Genomic DNA, 18,820 nt, shown 5'->3' with positions numbered 1-18,820 from the left:
TTGCAAATATATCAGTGATTAAAGAATTGCACTGATAGAGACGATGGGGTAATCCTTGGCCACTGGGTTCTTTGGAAGGTGACATATGATCTTCACGTCAGGTAATATGCCAATGACGTAACAGTTTGAGGGAGGCATATTTGACACATGTGCGTGAAAACCCACTCATGACACTGATGAACTACAAAAGGATCTGGAAGGAGATTTTAAGGAAGATTTGTGTTTCTAGGGCCAGAGTACCAAGCGTATTTCTGTTAGATATTTTAAATGACTCTTTTTTTTCCCTTTGTGAAAGGGATGTCATATAATCAACTCTGGTTTCCCCTACAGAAAGCCCTGGAGATCTAACTAGAAGTCCAGAGATGGATAAACTCAAGTCAGTAGCAAAGTGCTATGCTTATATAGAAACATCCTCCAACTCGGCAGACATTGACAAGATGACAAATGGAGAAACCTCATCCTACTGGCAGTCAGATGGCAGTGCCTGTTCACACTGGATTCGGTGGGTGGTATATAATACTTTTTTGTTTTTTAAAATTTTGGATTGTTTTCTTCTTAACTGCCTACTCTTTGTATTTTAAGTGGCTATGAAGATGCTTTAAGAATCAAGTAAAATGAATCATGTAAAATCATGTAACCTGGCTTATATATTCCTAACAGATAATTTCCCTGATATTTTAAAGGAGGAAATAACATTTGATTAATTTTAGATTAGTACTGATTTCATATCTTTTTTCACTAGTTTCTCAGGAAAATTAATACCACAAAGAATAAGTACTTACATGTGACTGTATTTTGAAATATCCTTTCTCTACTTTTTTTTTTCTTTTTAAGACAGGATCTTATTTTTGTCTCCCAGGCTGGAGTGCAGTGGTGCAGCCATAGCTCACTGTAACCTCAGACTCCTGGGTTCAAGCAGTCCTCCTGCCTCAGTCTCAGTCGCTGGGATTTAGGCAGGCACCACCATACCTGGCTAATTTCTTTATACTTTTTTGTAGAAATGGGGCCTCACTACGTTGCCCAGGCTTGTCTCAAACTCCTAGCCTTAATCCTCCTATCTTGGCCTCCCAAAGTGTTGGGTTTATAGGTGTGAGCCACTGCACCCGGTCCCTTTCTATACTTCTTTTTTTTTTTTTGAGATGGAGCCTTGCTCTGACGCCCAGGCTGGAGTGCAGTGGCATGATCTCTGTTCACTGCAACCTCCATCTCCAAGGCTCAAGCGATTCTCCTGCCTCAGCCTCCTGGGTGGCTGGGATTAAAGCTGCCCACCACCACACTCAGCTAATTTTTGTATTTTTAGTAGAGACAGGGTTTCACCATGTTGGCAGGCTGGTCTCAAGCTCCCAACTTCTCAAAGTGCTGGGATTACAGGCGTGAGCCACCGTGCCTGGCCTCTTTCTATATACATTTTTGAAATTCACTGTATGTAACTGAGTTGGTCACTTTAGAAGAAGAAATAGTGTGGTCAAGAATCCTGGAGTGGAGCTAATGATAATAAACAGTGGTATTTCTGGAAGCTCTGAAGCTGCTATTGAAATTTTCACCTCTCCCCTCAGAAAACAGGCTAATTCCAATTGGTAGAATTAAGTGCCAGAAATAATTATATTGTTTTCTCTTAGAGGACACATTTGACCTTTAGACATCTAATTTATAGATGAGAGAGTATACTCAGTTTTTTTGTATGCAGTTTAAAATTAGCTTTTTTGCCAGGTAAAGGGATTTTGTTAGAATGTTCATACTGTTCGTTCTTTCTGTACAAATAGCTTAAAAGGAATCGTAAGATTAATCTTGAACTGAAAGGTCTTTAAAAAATGTGGGAAGGTCAAGGTCAGAAGGACTTTGAAACTCATAGCCAGCATTTCAAGTTAGTTGCTGTTAGGAAAACCAGTCTTTGGATATATCAAATGTAAGCTCTTTGAGGTGGGACTTCTGGATCCTGTCAGTTCTTGACTCCTATAAACATTTGTAATTTCTGCTTTTTGTGTTTTCCAGTTTAAAAATGAAGCCAGATGTTGTGCTTAGGCACCTGTCCATTGCAGTGGCTGCCACTGACCAGAGCTACATGCCACAGCAGGTGACAGTAGCTGTAGGGAGGAATGCCAGCGATCTTCAGGAAGTCCGAGATGTGCACATCCCCAGCAATGTCACTGGCTATGTGACGCTGCTGGAAAATGCCAACGTCAGTCAGCTCTGTAAGTCCAACAGAACTGAGGGGATAGGGAAAAGCAAGGGAGTAGTATTTTTTACTTTGAAGTGAAGAGGCTGTTAGTTTTTGAGATTCGGTTTGCTTCTTAGGACGTACACAAAAGTGTTCATTATTTCATTCATTAAGTGTTGTAGAAATTATAGAAAAGCGTCGGGGCATGCTGGCTCACGCCTGTAATCCCAGCACTTTGGGAGGCCAAGGCAGGTGAATCACTTGAGATCAGGAGTTCGAAAACAGCCTGGCCAACATGGTGAAACCCTGTCTCTACTAAAAATACAAAAATTATCCAGGCGTGGGGGTGGGTACCTGTAATCCCAGCCACTTGGGGGGCTAAGGCAGAAGAATCACTTGAACCCAGGAAGCTATGGCTGCAGTGAGCTGAGATCACACCACTGCACTCCAGCCTGGGTGACAGAGCAAGACTCCATCTCAAACCAAAAAAAAGAAGGAAATTATAGAAGAACAGTGAAATCATTTTTTTCATTAAAAACAAAACAAAACATATATATATATATATATATATATATATATATATATATATATATATATATATATATATATTTAGACAGGATCTCTTTTTGTCACCCAGGCTGGAGTGCAGTGGTACAGTCATAGCTCACTGTAACCTCAGACTCCTGGGTTCAAGCAGTCTTCCTGCCTCAGTCTCAGTAGCTGGAATGTAGACATGCACCGCGATGCCTGGCTAATTTCTTTACACTTTTTTGTAGAAATGGGGCCTCACTGTGTTGCCCAGGTTGATCTCAAACTCCTGGCCTTTATGCTCCTACCTTGGCCTCCCAAAACGTTGGGATTATAAATATATATATATATATAAACATATATATAAAATATGTTTTTATATATGTTTATACATATTTATATATTGTGTATGCTTATATGTGTAATATATATGTTTTTTCTATATATTTTTTTTTTGAGACAGAGCCTCGCATTGTCGCCTGGGCTGGAGTGCAGTGGTGCAGTCTCAGCTCACTGCAACCTCCACCTCCGGGGTTCACGCAATTCTCCTGCCTTAGTCTCCCGAGTAGCTGCGATTACAGGCGCACACCACCATACCCACCTAATTTTCTGTATTTTTAGTAGAGACGGGGTTTCACTATGTTGGACAGACTGGTCTCGAACTACTGACCTCATGATCCGCCCGCCTCGGCCTTCCACAGTGCTGGGATTACAGGCATGAGTCACTGCACTGGCCCATTAAAAATAATTTTATTCACATTTTCATATTGGAAAATTAGAAAAATATAAACAAAAATACTCAAATCCTACTACCCAGGGATTGTTACTATGATTGCCTTGATGTGGATCCTTGCAGACCTTTCCGTGTGTGTGTGTATTTGTGTGTGTAAGTGTGTGTATGGTTTACATACACACACATATATGCACACATATCTACACACCTTTTTTCCTAAAAAATAGAGCTGTATGTATCTGTTCACATAAATCTATACATATCTTTTTACAAAAATGTTGATATTCTTTGCATGTTCTTTTGTAATTTTTTAGAGTGTGTTATATTCACGAATATCCTTATTTAGTGTTGTAAAAATATGCCGTAATTGGCTGGGTGCAGTGGCTCACACCTCCAATCCCAGCACTTTGGGAGGCTGAGGCATGCAGGTCACTTGAGGTCAGGAGTTCTAGACCAGCCTGGCCAACATGGTGAAACTCCGTCTCTACCAAATACAAAAATTAGCCGGGCGTGGTGGCGCATGCCTGTAATCCCAGCTACTTGGGAGGCTGAGGCAGGAGAATCACTTGAACCCAGGAGGCGGAGGTTGCAGTGAGCTGAGATTGTGCCACTGCACTCCTCCAGCCTGGGTGAACAGAGCAAGACTCCATCTCAAAAAAAAAAAAAAAAAAAGCCGTAATTTTAACCCACCCCTCATTCTTGGACATTTAGATTGTTTCCAATTTTATACCATTATAACCTTGCTTTAAACATAGCATTTTGGAAATAATCACAATTCTGTGATTGCTTTCTGGGCTTATTTCGTTCAGGGAGCCGGAATGCTTCATGTTTTATCTCATTTCTTCTAATGCTTTCCTGGGCCAAAAGAAGTGTTCTTTGCTCAAAGGAACTGAGGCCTAGGGAGGTAGAGTCTTTGTGTCTCACCCCTAGCAAATAAGTAGTTAGGCCTGTGGGTTAGAAGCTTCCTGTCTTATATTGTGATCTTTTCTCTAAGTTGTGTCCTTTTTAAATTCTTACCTTCTCTCCTCTGACCCAAATAAGAAATTGTGACATCTCTTAAAAGTGAGTCATGTCTGTGTCATCTGTTTGGATTTGATTATTAAAAATAAATTCTCACAATTGCTTGTAAGCCAGCCACTGTTCTATAACTTAATCCAAATTTCAGAATCCTAGGAAGAATTCTAGAAATGTTCTTACCATGTATTCAGACAGGCTTGTTTTAAAATGTTCTTTGTGTAGTTTTTTCAAGACTCCTAAGTTCCTAAGAAGTTTTGTTGTAAAGACTTAAATCACCCTTAATTTTACATATTATTCTTATGATTTCTTAGATTTGTCAAAGCTTTTTGACAAATTTATTATATACTAGTTCCATTGCACATGCTATTTATTTCTGTCATCAAAGTGTACCTTCAGAATTTTCTTTTCAAAATGTCTATTACTATTTTGCTTTTAGTTGGGAGCCCAGCATTTGCCTAAAGAAGTTAATCCAATACTGAATTTTTTGTTTGTGCTCGACAGATGTCCAGATTAACATAAAGCGTTGTCTTAGCGATGGCTGCGACACTAGAATTCATGGTCTCAGGGCTGTTGGCTTTCAGAGAGTTAAGAAGTCTGGGGTCTCAGTCTCAGATGCTTCTGCAATATGGTATTGGTCTCTGCTGACATCTCTGGTGACGGCTTCTATGGAGACAAATCCCGCCTTTGTCCAGACAGTGCTGCACAATACTCAGTAAGTCATTCTCTCTATGTTCCAGCCCCCTCAACATGCCCTCATTCTCCCATCATCCTTTAGGGCGTATCACTGAGCAGCCTTCCATCATTGATCGTTGTGGCTCAGTCAGCTCGGCCTCAGGTGCCCTAGTGTTTCCTGTTCGTGCCACTCAGCTCCACAGTGTATCTCTCTTTGATTGACGTTCTGACTTTACAGACTGAAAAAGTGCCCATTCCACCTTCCTGCTCCTCGTCACACAGTTCCTACAGTGTTCTTCATCAGCTCACTAAGTGGACCAGTCTTGTGAGGAGGTCACTTATGCTGTGCCTGTTCCTTGTCCATTGGGAAGTAATTGCTCATGTTTCTATAGGATTTGATGTTGGATAAAGCCCTTTCAGATGCAGTCTATTATTTTACCTACTGACACTGAAGTGTACCTGTGAAAATCACCCCATTTTATAGACGCAGATGTTGTGACCTTTCCTGAAGTCACAAGACCAGGCTGCAGTAATGGATCAGTTGAGGGCTCTTTCCACGAATGAGTGAAATCTTTTCAGGGTACTAAATTAATTTCTTTTGAAATGTAGAGTACTTTTGAAAAAAAATCATTAGGGCAAAAAGACCAAATAGTAACATATAAGACAAATACAACCAGCTATAGCAGCACTGAAATATTAGTATTGTGCAGATTCAGTAACTGATAATAGGTACCTATAGTGTAGGCGGTGAGAGTATCAGCCAAAAAGAGATTGCTAATATTTTGTTCTCTAGACATCTTTTGAGATTTGTTAGCACTATTGAGTAAAACTGTTAGCAAATAACACTGCTGCTCTGAAGGTTAATAGTTGGCCATACCTTGTTCTTTCTTCCTGTTGTAGCATGTATTCTCACTAAATTATTTCATACTTAGAGAAGCACTGCAAGTTTACATTTAACAAATAATTTTTATTTCTTCCTCAGTCATTAGAGAGTAATTTGCCTGCCTGTGCCCCATCGTTCCTGCTGCTTTAGTGTGTATTTCCTGTAAACAAGAACATTTACTGACAACCATTGAAATCAGGAAATCCACATTGGTGTACATTGCTATGTTGCCACCATCTCATCCTCAGACTCCCTGCAAGTTTTGCACGTTGCCCCAGTCACGCCCCTTACAGCAAAAGGATCCAGCGAAACACTCTGCATTTCTTTGTCCTTTCTCTTTAGTTTCCTTCATTCTGAAACAATTCCTCAGTATTTCCTTGACTTTCCTCAGTATTTCCTTGACCCTGATACTTTTGAAAATTACAGGTCAGTTATTTTGAAGAGTGTCCTTCAATTCTGGTTTATTTGATGTTTTATTGTGATCAGATTGAGGTTTTGTTATCTGTCTCTAGCAGGAATATCATAGAAGTGATGCTTTGTTCTCATTGCATCCCATTGGGTTGCACACAACTTCAGATAGTCCTCATTCTAATGCAGTCTTGTTAACTTTGATCACTTGATTAAAGTGGTTTTTGCCAGACTTTTCCATTGTAAAATAAATATTTTTCACTTCATAATTAATAAATACGTTGAAGGCGGTACTTTGAGACTATGTAAATATCGTATTCCTCATCAAAACTTTATGTTAGTGGATTCCTCTTTTATGCACTAGATTATAGTCAGCCACAGTTTTGATGCTTATGTTATCCTGGAGTTGGCTGGTGGCAACCCCTGCAGTCTGGCTTGTGTGTCCTTTTGACATGTCTCATTATTCTCGGAATGCTTCCATATGTTCTGACACAAGATATTCCAGGCTTATCTTGAATGTTCCCTGCATTAGTCCTGGAATCAGCCATTTTTCTGAATCAGGGGCTCTTTAGGTGGAGATCCACCCACCTCGGTCTCCCAAAGTGCAGAGATTACAGGCATGAGCCACCATGCCCAGCCTATTTCTTTATTTGTGACTGCCTTCTCTGATACTAAGAAACTTGCTTCCCATGATCCTTAATACATTTTTTGTACTTACTCAGTTCGCCTCTATGTAACCAGTGTCCCATTGCCCCTGCCCTTGCATGGACACCCTCCCTATCCCATTCCTGCTCCAGCATCTTTTGCAGAGCTGCTGCTGTGGCCATCCTTGCACAGATGCCCTTCTTATCTTCCTCGAGTTCCTATACCCTGTGCCAGGCCACCCTTCTTGCCTCACTTGGTGCCTGCATTCCATATCAGGCCGTACCTTTGTGAAGACACCTTTCTCACCCTGCTCAGGCTCTAAAACCTCACTGTAGGCCACCATGACGACTCCCCCTTACTCCCCAGACACATACAAATGTCTGCACTGCACAGTCCCATCTTGTGGACTGGATTTTCAGGAAAAGGAAGAGGTTTCTATATTTTTTTTGAAGATGTGGCAAGTGGTTGAAGAATGGACAGATTTTAAAGTCTGTGTCCCTGCTCAGTTTTACTAGTTCATCTGCAATGATATTTTCATGCACTCCTGCCTTTTTAAGATTAGTGATCTAAATCTATTTTAAAATTAAAGATTTATTGAAAAAATATCAATGAGGAAAAATAGGTAAGGAAAAGAATATTTTGGGACAGAAGTGTTGCCTGTATCAGTGGAAATAAATTCAGTAAATGATCGCATGCTACTTGTGTGCATTAAACCTCACTGATCAGCTGCATCTGTGTGTAGCTGCCATGTTTGTGCAACCCCAAAATGGCTCATTGTGTAGACAGGAACAGAACTAGGGCAGAGTGCGAGCTGACAGTGTTTGCTTTGCTTTATTGTCTCTATTTTGAAATGTAGAAATGAAATTGTTTCAGGGATTTTCATTACCATTATCATTAAGCGACTATCAGTTGTAGAATTTTGAGTTACTTTTGATACATTCACAGAATACCTTGAAATTTTTCATGGTACATTCAGTCACCTAGCACAGTTGCTGGCACACAGTAGGGCTCAGAAGTCATTTGTTGCGTAAATTTTTGATGACTGCTAATCTAGAGTAGGTAAAGCTATTGGGGGATTCAGAAAGATAAATGTAAGCAAAGACAAGAAAAGGGAAACACTAAAACAGACATTAAGGTGGAAAGGCCAAGAAACATGGCAGGAATGGAGACGGTGATGTGCTAATCTGTTTAAGAGAACATAACATTCATGGCACATCTTTAGATACCATAGATCTTCAGATCCTAGCTATAAAATTTTCTTTTGTTTTTTTTTTTTCCCTGTTGCTGCTGAACAAATTATAAAATAAATTTTCTACTGAGCCTCAAGCTGCTCTGCCTCTTGGGTCAGTTTTTCTAGTACTACTTAACATGAAAGCTGGATTCTAGAGAGTTGAATAAGTTTTATTCAACAGAGGGAGGCAGAACTCCTAAAAGAAAGAAAGAAACAAACAAACACAAAACCCTATTAAACTACTTAGCACTGTGACTCCTGGGCAAAAAGGGATAGTTTAGGCTGGGCACGGTGGCTTACACCTGTAATCATAGCACTGTGGGAGGACGAGGTAGGTGGATCACGAGGTCAGGAGTTCAAGCCCAGCCTGGCCAAGATGGTGAAACCCTGTCTCTACTAAAAATACAAATTAGTCAAGCGTGGTGGCGGGCTCCTGTAATCCTAGCTACTCAGGAAGCTGAGGCAGGAGAATCGCTTGAACCTGGGAGGTGGAGGTTGCAGTGAGCCGAGATCGCACCACTGCACTCTAGCCTGGGTGATAGAGCGAGACTCCGTCTCAAAAAAAAAGAAGGGCCAGTTTATATTGTGTGCCAGCTTCTCTGTGGGAACACTGTCTGTTTATAAGGGATTAGTCAAAACAAGCTTCTAACAGTTTATTTTTTGTCTAAATTCGGTCTGGTTTTGTTCTGATTACATTTTACATTTTCCTCTTCTAGGAAGGCGCTGCGGCACATGCCTCCACTCTCTCTCTCACCAGGATCTACAGATTTCTCAACTTTCCTCTCCCCTAATGTGCTGGAAGAAGTGGACAGTTTCCTCATAAGGATAACTAGGTAAAATCAAGGCTGATGAGGGTAAACTCTGTGAGGAATGGAGTGCACGTATGCTTGTTAAGTCTTTAAAAAATATATATTAATCTTTTAACGATCACCACTAAAAATGGTTGCTTTTTAGCAGCTAAAGAGAAAGTGACATAATAGTTCACTCATCTAAAGTCCACTATTTAGCAGTATCACCTGACCTGAAGAATTGGGAAGGTTGGTGAGGGGTGTTGCAGGGCCCAAGGGGAGTAGTCCTGTGATTCTGATAGAACAGATGTCTCAAAGTCCAACTGGCATAGCCTTCCCTCACTCAGAACCTGCTGACCTTCACATGCAGGTCCAGGGAGCCTGATTACCTACAGAACTGGGAAAGGGCACCTGGATAGCTTGATAGCAGTGACCACTTTGTGTAGGGACACTCACTTCTGCCTCAGTGAGCCCTGAGGACATTATTGCATTAGAGGTCAAACCAGTCCCTGAGCCATCTAGACAGTTTTTAACGTTTCAGTATAATGTGTTTAAATTAAAAGCAAAGAAGTGTAATTCAGTGTGATACATTTTTAGTGCTTCAAGCATAAACCCTCAACTCTCTGGTCAAGCCAGCTCATTACCCAAGGCTTCTTAATAGCAGAGGCTTATTACAGTAGCGTATTGGTATTATTTAATATTTAAAGATTAAAGATTATAGAAGTGAGGCTTTCATTCCCTGGCTCTCTGGATTGATTTAATTTTTCCTTAGGTTACCTTAAGGATTTTGAAAAATATTTCGGATAAACCTGTAGAAAGCATATGGCAGGTTAATGTTACTTGTGTTGATCACTTACATGGGGTTTGAGCTACCTGGATTTTTTCATGTTTTTAAGAAGTGAAAAGTTTTTGCTCTTTGCTTATAGCTGCTGTTCTACCCCAGAGGTAGAACTGACTCTTCTGGCTTTTGCTCTCGCAAGAGGAAGTGTTGCCAAAGTCATGAGCTCTCTATGCACCATCACTGACCATCTGGACACGCAGTATGATGCCTCATCCCTCATCTTGTCCATGGCGTCAGTCAGACAGAACCTGCTCCTCAAATATGGTAAATATGGTAAAACATGGGGGTGATAGAAATGTCAACAGTGGACAAATCGTAAAACCATTCTTCGCCATATGACCTCCTGGTATCTTCTCATCTTTTTGGGTTGTTATAGTTACACCATGATTCCTGGATGAACGTATCCTCTGAGTATCAGACCTTACTAGGATTGGCAGGGAGAAGGGGGATTTAGGTTCATTTATGTGATGGCAGTATCACCAGAAGAGGACACTTGATTGTCCACAAGGCTATACTCCCATGATCTGCTTGCAAAATTACTCAGGTCTGGTGGCCATTTGAACACAGCCATCTTTGGTGAAGTACTGAAGTGTCTCATTGTGTAGGCCAAGAGGGTTGGAGTAGTTCTTACCTGTTGGAGGGAGGAAACTAGCCAAGATACGGTGCAAAGGGATCTTTGTCTTAGAATGCATTCCTCTGCATTCCCGTGATAGCTGCTCTGAAGGATTTGGACACCTGTCTGCCACTGCTTTCCCCCCTTGGGCCTAGCAGTAATTCATATGAGCACTTTTCTACCAAACCAGGATGGGGCCTTATAATCCTTCTCAACATGGGAGCCCATAAAGTCACTCCCAAAAGACTGCAGTGCAGCACTTCTACTTGTGAGTGCAGCCTTCCTGGACTCCACAATATGTGGTGTTGGGTCTCATCCTGTTGGCAGTATTCCAGTGACATTTCTACCCTTTTATTTATTTTGAGAGAGAGTGTCTTGCTGTGTTGCACAGATTGGAGTGCAGTGGCATGATCACGGCTCACTGCAGCCTTGACCTCCCAGGCTCAAGTGATCCTCCTGTGTCACTCTCCCGAGTACCTGGGACCACAGGTGCATGCCAGCATACCTGGTTAATTTTTAAAAATTTTTTGTAGAGATTGGGTCTCACTATGTTGCCCAAGCTGGTCTTGAACTCCTAGGCTGAAGCAGTCCTCCCACCTTGGCCTCTTAAAATCCTGGGACTGCAGGCGTGAGCCACCACACCTGGCTTCTGCCGTGAGGTTTCTACCTTCGTCTTAGTGTGACTGACTTAATGGCTTCTTTTTATGTTTATTTTTATTTTTATTTATTTATTTTTTGAGACAGAGTCCTGCTCTGTCATCCAGGTTGGAGTGCACTGGCATAATCTGAGCCCACTGCAGCGTCCACCTCCCAGGTTCAGGTGATCCTCTTGCCTCAGCCTCCTGAGTAGCTGGGACTATAGGCATGGGTCACCACACCTGGCTAGTTAAAAATTTTTTTTTTTTTAGAAATGAGCTCTCCCCATGTTGACCAGGCTGGTCTCAAACTCCTGGACTCAAGCAGTACTCCCACCTCAGCCTCCCAAAGTGCTGGAATTTACAGGCATGAGCCATGATGCCCAGCCTGTTTAATTTTTTTTTTCTTTTGCCTGTTTAAATTTTTAAGTTAGACAATTGGTGTCCTGTAAATCTAGTTTCCTCCCTAAATTTTGAAAGGTTATTTTCTTGGGTGGTTGGGGGTTGCACTGGTCAACAGCCCAGAGCAGCCATGGCTGGATAGAAGGGATAGCAGGTAGTGTCTGGAAGCTGAATAGAATTTAGATTAATGGTTGTTCAGGCAGGGAGCAGTGGATAGGAAGGAATGGGGTAATGTTCTAGTTCTAGGTCATATCATAGGTGAACAGGTGTACATTCTATTATTAAAACAAAAGGAAAACATTTTCAGATCATCATAGCAAAAGTTGATTTATATGTATATATAAATATATATTTTTTTTTGCCAAAGCCAAGTGTTCTGAAAAAGTTGATTTTTCTAATTCTTGAAACAGAAATTTTGCCTGCAGAGATGATTTAAAGAAACGAGACCTAAAATATTTTATATTTAAATGCAATTGTAATAAAGTTAATTATTGGCTCCAAAACAGTATCTTAGGAATCACCCCCCCAAATGTGTTCAATCTATGTTATCAACCTATGTCTTATAATGTCCTTTTTTCAGAACAATGATTGTTCTAGAAAGCTGTCCTTGGAATCACTCAGGGCCATAGCTGTACTTTGTCTCTTTCAGGAAAGTACAAAGGGATGGTGTCAACTTTTGTCTGATATTACTGCTCTATTTCAGCTTTTAAACAGGGAGATTTTTAGTTAGCAGTCTGGGTAGCCACAGGACTCTATTTCCACAGATAGGCATGCTAGTTTCCAGTTCTTCATATTTTAGCTTACAGCTTGGTCTTCCTTTTCTTTGGTCAGGTAAACCTCTCCAGTTGACTCTTCAGGCATGTGATGTCAAAGGAAAAGAAGATAAGTCTGGACCCGAAAACCTCCTTGTTGAACCGTGGACAAGGGATGGTGAGTGGTGGGTCTGTCTGTTTCTAGTGTGCTCGGTAGACAGGAGTCAGCTGTGTGAAAGCACACTCCAGACTTTGAAATGTTTGAGGCGTGCAGTCTTCAATTTTAGGTTGTTTCTCAGTTGGCAGTGGTTGCTGAGCAATTTGTGTGGTGTAGTTGTAATCTGCCTAGGTGTCAATGACTATAACAACTCAGAAGTATTTGAGAGCCTGAAGTTTTGAAAAGCAAGGATTCTTTCTCTTGGAATATAAAAAGTTACTATTTTTTTTAATCGTTTTTTCAGTTCCAATTGTCTTTCTATTGTGTTATCTTCAGGTGGTAGGAAACTCAGCAGATCAGTAGCACTTTACTACTGACTGAAAACATAGTTTAAGAAGGGTATTTCCAGGCCGGGTGCAGTGGCTCACACCTGTAATCCCAGCGCTTTGGGAGGCCGAGGTGGGAGGATCACTTGAGGCCAGGAGTTCAAGACAAGCCTGGCCAACATGGTGAAACCCCATCCCTAATAAAAAAACTACAAAAATTAGCTGTTGTGGTGGCAGGGCACCTGTAATTCCAGCTACTTGGGAGGCTGAGGCATGAGAATCACTTGAACCCGGGAGGTTGAGGTTGCAGTGAACTGAGATCCCGCCACTGCCTTCCAGCCTGGGTGACAGAGCGAGACTCTGTTTCAAAAAAACAAAACAAAACAAAGAAGGGTATTTCCAGATATAGCTGATGTAGTATTTGCGTGTCTAGAGGAAGCCTCACTCTTTTCCTAGTGTCAACATAATAATTGCTGATGTGCTTTTCAACTTTGCTGGAGGCTCTTTCCTTATCTCGTGATAAGGTGTTTGTGAGTCTCTCATTCGTCTTGTTGGCCGCCTTGTTATTGTCCTCTGTGTCCCTTTTTTCCTCACTGGACTGATTTGAATCTTGCTGATTCACTAGAGGAAGTGGAATGTTCCAGCAGTGATCAGACATTGAAAGGGACTAGCCTTGCTGCTTTGCGTCTGGTTCTCCTCGGCTTTCCTCTCAGCAATGAGTCCTCGTATGTTCTCAGTGGTTGCCTCTTCTCTGTCCCGTTTCCTGTATTCGTTCTCAGCACTCATGGAGTCCAGACCCTAGGAGAACATGCTTTTCCCAGCTGCACCTCCTCTCCTCAGTGCTCCTCTTCAGCAGTAGATGCTTAAAGCAGATTGTTTCCCTGTGGTTTTCCCTGAGCAGCTCAGCCTGTGCAGAAACGTTTTTCTTTACCACATCCATCTCCAGCCACACTGAAGGCCATGGCTGGCTGTGAGGCTCCTGCCATCCAAAGTGGGTGGGGCTGGGAGGGGGTGGTGTTAGCTCCTTGTCCCTTTCCCTTCCCCTCACCCAAGAAAGCCAAGACCACCCTGCCAAAGGCCCTCTGCATTTTTCCTTCACTTGCTGAAGATTTGGAATTTTTGTTCCTGGAGCATGTGAGGAAGTGGATTTTTTATTTCTTTATTTTTATATTTTTTTGAGACGAAGTCTCACTCTATCGCCCAGGCTGGAGTGCAGTGGTATGATCTTGGCTCACTGCAACCTCCTCCTCCCGGGTTCAAGCCATTCTTCTGCCTCAGCCTTCCGAGTATCTGAGACTACAGGCGCCCGCCACCACGCCCGGCTAATTTCTTGTATTTTTAGTAGAGACGGGGTTTCACCACGTTAGCCAGGATGGTCTCGATCTCCTGACCTCGTGAGCCACCGTGCCCGGCTGGATGTGGATTTTTAACATTGTTCACGGGCATTTCTCCTGGTAATAGATTTTGCCAGCTCTTGTGCCTGGTCTGATTTGAATATTTTGTTATTTTCCCTGTGTCTTTTACCTACCCAGTTCTCCTTCCTGCTTTTTCCCCTCCTTAGATTGAGTGGATTTTAAAAATCTAGCTGTAGTTTGTGGATTTGTTATTTTTGCCATGTGCCTGAGAAACACAAGGGTGGGATGTGAATGGGTGTGGGGAGCACTGGGTTCCTCCTGCTCACTCCCTCCAGCCATCACTATCTATTGCTTGTAACTCAGGGTTGATGTCGGTCTCTCTTGCTGCACTGCAAAAAGTAACCCTTAAGGGACAAGACAAGAGGAAAGTACTCATGGCCAGAGCTGTTGGGTTTGGGGGTGATTTTTTCTTCCCCTTATCGGAGTAAAAGCTCTTCTCATGGGTACACGTCTGATTCTCCAACAGTGGGGAAGTACCACTTTTGGACAAGTGCCACTGCAGGGCCCACAGAATGCCCAGAGAACTCAAACGCTGATACTTCAGGGGGCTAACGTTCCTGGCAGTCACCACTGTCACTTGGTCTGGTATTTTAAAGGAATACTGGGTGCTCCTGATAGGAGCAGAAGTGGTAGATTTATTAAGTCCTTTAAATCTGATTGGTTATTTTTTTTTTCCCTGTTATCTAAAAAGAATAAATTGGCAAGTGGAGGGCAGGGTGTCAAAACTTATAGATTTAAAATATCACAGTTCAGCTGGGTGCAGTGGCTCACACCTGTAATCCCAGCAATTTGGGAGGCCGAAGCAGGCAGATCACCTGAGGTCAGGAGTTCGAGACCAGCCTGGCCAACATGGTGAAACCCCATCTCTACTAACAGTACAAAAATTAGCCAGGCATGGTGGCAGGCACTTGTAGTCCCAGCTACTTGGGAGGCTGAGGCAGGAGAATTGCTTGAACCCGGGAGGCGGAGGTTGCAGTGAGCTGAGATTGCGCCATTGCACTCCCACCTGGGTGACAAGAGCAAAACTCTGTCTCAAAAAAAAAAAAAAAAAAATCACAGTCAAACCTGTGAGCTAGGCTGGACACAGTGGCTCATGCCTGTAACCCCGACACTTTGGGAGGCAGAGGTGGGAGGATTTCCTGAGGCCAACAGTTTGAGACCATCCTGGGTAACATAGTGAGATCCAGTCACTACAAAAAATGAAATAAAAAATTAGCTGGGCATGGTGGTGTTTGCCTGTGGGCCTACTTAGGCTGAGGCAGGAGGATTGTTTGAGCCCAGGAGTGTAAGGTCGCAGTGAGTTATGATTGTACCACTGCACTCCAGCCTGGGCAACAGAGCGAGACCCTGTGTCTAAAAAACAAAAGAGAAAAATGAAAAAAACCACGTGAGCTGATTTCTTACCAAGAAAAGGAAGCACAGAAGTTTTATTTTTTTTTTTAAGGTTTTGTTTTTGTTTTGCCTTTCTGAAAAAATGTCATTGCATATTTGGTGGCAGTGTTATTTTAAAAGAGTCTATCCGATTCTGTTGACTTAAATTATTGCTTCTGCTACTACATTGAGACTAACTAAAATTGCTGATTTATCACTTAACTTTTAGACAATAGTTTAGCCTTTACATAGATTTCTTTTACATAGAGACATCCAGGGCTCTGGGAAAAGGTAAGAGTTCAATAATTGGGATAGTTCTTAGTATTACTGTTAGTGGAGTTGTGTGAATTGTTGGTAGTATGGATTCTTAAAATTGCCTATAGAATTGCTCTTTCATAGAACTAGATCATAGAGCGTCTGTGTGAATTAGAGAAGTTTCCTTTGGATTTAATTTTCTTAGTTTTGGTGACTCATTTTGCACATTGTCTTTATAAATTTTTGTTGGCTTGAACTCCATGTAATGAAACAGGAAGCATGAAATTGGTTTTAGTCTTGTCATTTTGATAGGCAGAATTGTTAAGAAAATTCAGAGTCCCAGAAAAAAAAGCTTATTTATTGCTGAGTTATATCATTTAGAGACGTTTGAAAGAGAAAGGCAACCTTGGGTCTAGCAGAAGACTTTTTCATGAGTTGTTAAAGGATAATTACCAACAATCAAAAAAGGAAAATAGTGACTGTCATACAAATATAAGTGAACACATTCATACTTTTAATTTATTTACTTTAATTTATTTATTCATTCATTCATTCATTTGAGACAGGGTCTCACTCTACTGCCCAGACTGGAGTGAAGTGTTGTGATGATAGCTCACTGCAACCTCCACCTCCCAGGCTCAAGCGATCCTCCCACCCTGGCCTCCCAAGTAGCTAGGATTGCAGGTGTGCACCACCGTGCCCAGCTGATTTTTTTTTTTTTTTTTTTTTGAGTTGGAGTCTCACTCTGTCACCCAGGCCGGCTGGAGTGCAATGGTGAGATCTCAGCTTACTGCATCCTCCGCCTCCCGGGTTCAAGCGATTCTCCTGTCTCATCCTCCTGAGTAGCTGGGATTACAGGTGTGTGCCACCACGCCCGGCGAATTTTGTGTTTTTAGTAAAGATGGGGTTTTCACCATGTTGGCCAGGCTCGTCTCGAACTCCTGACCTTAAGTGAACTGCCTGCCTCAGCCTCCCAAAGTGCTGGGATTATAGGTGTGAGCCACCACACCCACCTTGATTTTTGCTTTTTTTTTTTTTTTTTTTGGTAGAAATGGGGTCTCACTGTGCTGCCCAGGCTGGTTTTGAGGCTCAAGTGATCCACTGGCCTCAGCCTCCCAAAGTGCTGGGATTACAGGCATGAGCTACTGTGCCTGGCCCAGACTTTTTATTTAGCTCATTAATTAATGAGGGAACCAGTAAGATGTTACAAACAGTTCTAAGGAGAATTCATAAAATACATGTAGACTAACAAGAATGCTAAAATTAATTTACAAATAGATAGAATGTTGGTCAGTATCCATAAGGAATAATCAGCAACATTTCCACAGAACACAGTGTTTAGTTCTGTGGACAAGAATCATGTGCATCACTACCAGTGTTCTACAACTTACAGAATTGTAAAATAGTTTAGAGACCATAAAAGGCAGAGACGACCGAAAGGGTATGTTGGCTAGGACACCCAGTGATTCTTTTTTTTTTTTTTTTTTTTTTTTCCCATTTCAAAGCCTTTCATAACCTTTCCTGACAAAGTGTTGTAGAAGCTAACTAATCCCTTTCTCAGCCACTAAGCCAGTAGGCTTTATCAGCCCAGGCAGCCATCAGCCATGGTTGTAGGTGTGGCTCAGGAAGATGATTGATTGTCCAGTCTTTTGTCGCTTTGGCTTAAATGTTTTATAAACATTTCTTTTCTTTTTCTTTTTCTTTTTCTTTTTTTTTTTTGAGACGGAGTTTCACTCTGTTGCCCAGGCTGGAGTGCAGTGGCACAATCTCCAAGCTCCGCCTCCCGGGTTCACGCCATTCTCCTGTCTCAGCCTCCCGAGTAGGTGGGACTACAGGCGCCCGCCACCACACCTGGATAATTTTTTGTATTTTTAGTAGAGACGGGGTTTCTCCGTGTTAGCCAGGATGGTCTCCGTCTCCTGATCTCGTGATCCACCCGCCTCGGCCTCCCAAAGTGCTGGGATTACAGACGTGAGCCACTGTGCCCGGCCTAAACATTTATTTTCTTATTGTTACCTCAGAGCAGGGCTGCCTGTGAGGTGGAGGGGATTGTGCCCTGGGAAAGTTGAACCTGGTCAGTTCTCTGCTTACCTGGGGCTTTATCATCGGGGTTGCCTCTGTCCAAAGAGGACATTTTTCTCTAATTTTCGTGAAGATATCAGACCAGTTACCCCCCATGACTCAAAGGATATGGTTTGTTTTTGTTGATCTTAGTTCTTAGGGCTATAAAAATGGGTTAGTTCCCTAACTTGAGTTTTCCCTTTTTTCAGGTTTTCTTACGGAAACTGGAAAAACCAGAGCCAGCACTATTTTTTCTACCGGAACTGAATCTGCCTTCCAAGTTACACAGATAAGAATTATGGTAATTTTCGTGCTACCTTCTTTAAGCAATGTTACTACTTTTGTTTTCAATTTTTATGGGTACATAGTAGGTATATATATTTGTGGGGTACATGAGGTGTTTTGATACAGGCATGCAATGTGAAATAATCATACAGAGGATGAGGATGAGCTATTCATCCCCTCAGGCATTTAGTCTTTGTGTTATAAACAATCCATTACACTGTTGTAGTTACTTTTCCATGTACAATTAGGTTATTATTGAATATTACCTTTTATTACATTTCAGAAGTCCACGTCATTGGTGTTTTGGTTTTTTTTTTTAAAGTCAGACCTATGGCTGACCATGTCATTGGTTATTCATTGAACATTTAATGATGATTTACTCTGTGTCAGGCCTGTAGCAGAGGGCAGGGACACAAAGATGGATAGACTGTAAAGTCTTTGAAATGGTGAGAATATAAGGATTGAGAAAGTTAAGGAACATTTCTTGGGAAACAGCTTTCTTATTTTTTGAGGGCTTAATATGTTTGAAATATTTTTCATTGGTCTCGTTTTGTTTTAACCTGTTTGAATTTAACCATGCTGGAAACAAAACGGCCACAGAACTTTTGCCCCTTTGATAGACTTCATCCTAATCTCTGTTTCCA

At 41.8% G+C, this 18,820-nt stretch overlaps 1 protein-coding gene and 1 non-coding gene across 9 annotated transcripts in view; one reads left to right on the top strand and one right to left on the bottom strand.

Moving 5' to 3' along the window:
- Window positions 1-18,820, top strand: part of ZZEF1 (zinc finger ZZ-type and EF-hand domain containing 1) — a 138,586-nt gene that overhangs the window by 28,230 nt on the left and 91,536 nt on the right. For all 8 annotated transcript variants that reach the window (XR_007065288.1, NM_015113.4, XM_005256561.3 and 5 more), the window contains exons 4-10: window positions 331-502; window positions 1,993-2,192; window positions 4,938-5,148; window positions 8,992-9,108; window positions 9,990-10,168; window positions 12,386-12,484; window positions 18,101-18,192. Coding sequence is in view for 7 of the 8 variants with exons in the window: in NM_015113.4 (NP_055928.3) it covers window positions 331-502; window positions 1,993-2,192; window positions 4,938-5,148; window positions 8,992-9,108; window positions 9,990-10,168; window positions 12,386-12,484; window positions 18,101-18,192 (1,070 nt within the window). In the remaining variant the exon portion in view is untranslated. The remainder of the gene's footprint in view (window positions 1-330; window positions 503-1,992; window positions 2,193-4,937; window positions 5,149-8,991; window positions 9,109-9,989; window positions 10,169-12,385; window positions 12,485-18,100; window positions 18,193-18,820) is intronic.
- Window positions 91-193, bottom strand: LOC124904128 (small nucleolar RNA U13). The gene has a single exon (XR_007066005.1). It is a non-coding gene; the product is annotated as a small nucleolar RNA U13 (small nucleolar RNA).

This window comes from Homo sapiens, chromosome 17, assembly GCF_000001405.40.
Source record: "Homo sapiens chromosome 17, GRCh38.p14 Primary Assembly".
NCBI lineage: Eukaryota > Metazoa > Chordata > Mammalia > Primates > Hominidae > Homo > Homo sapiens.
This window is presented reverse-complemented; position numbering and strand designations above follow the sequence as displayed.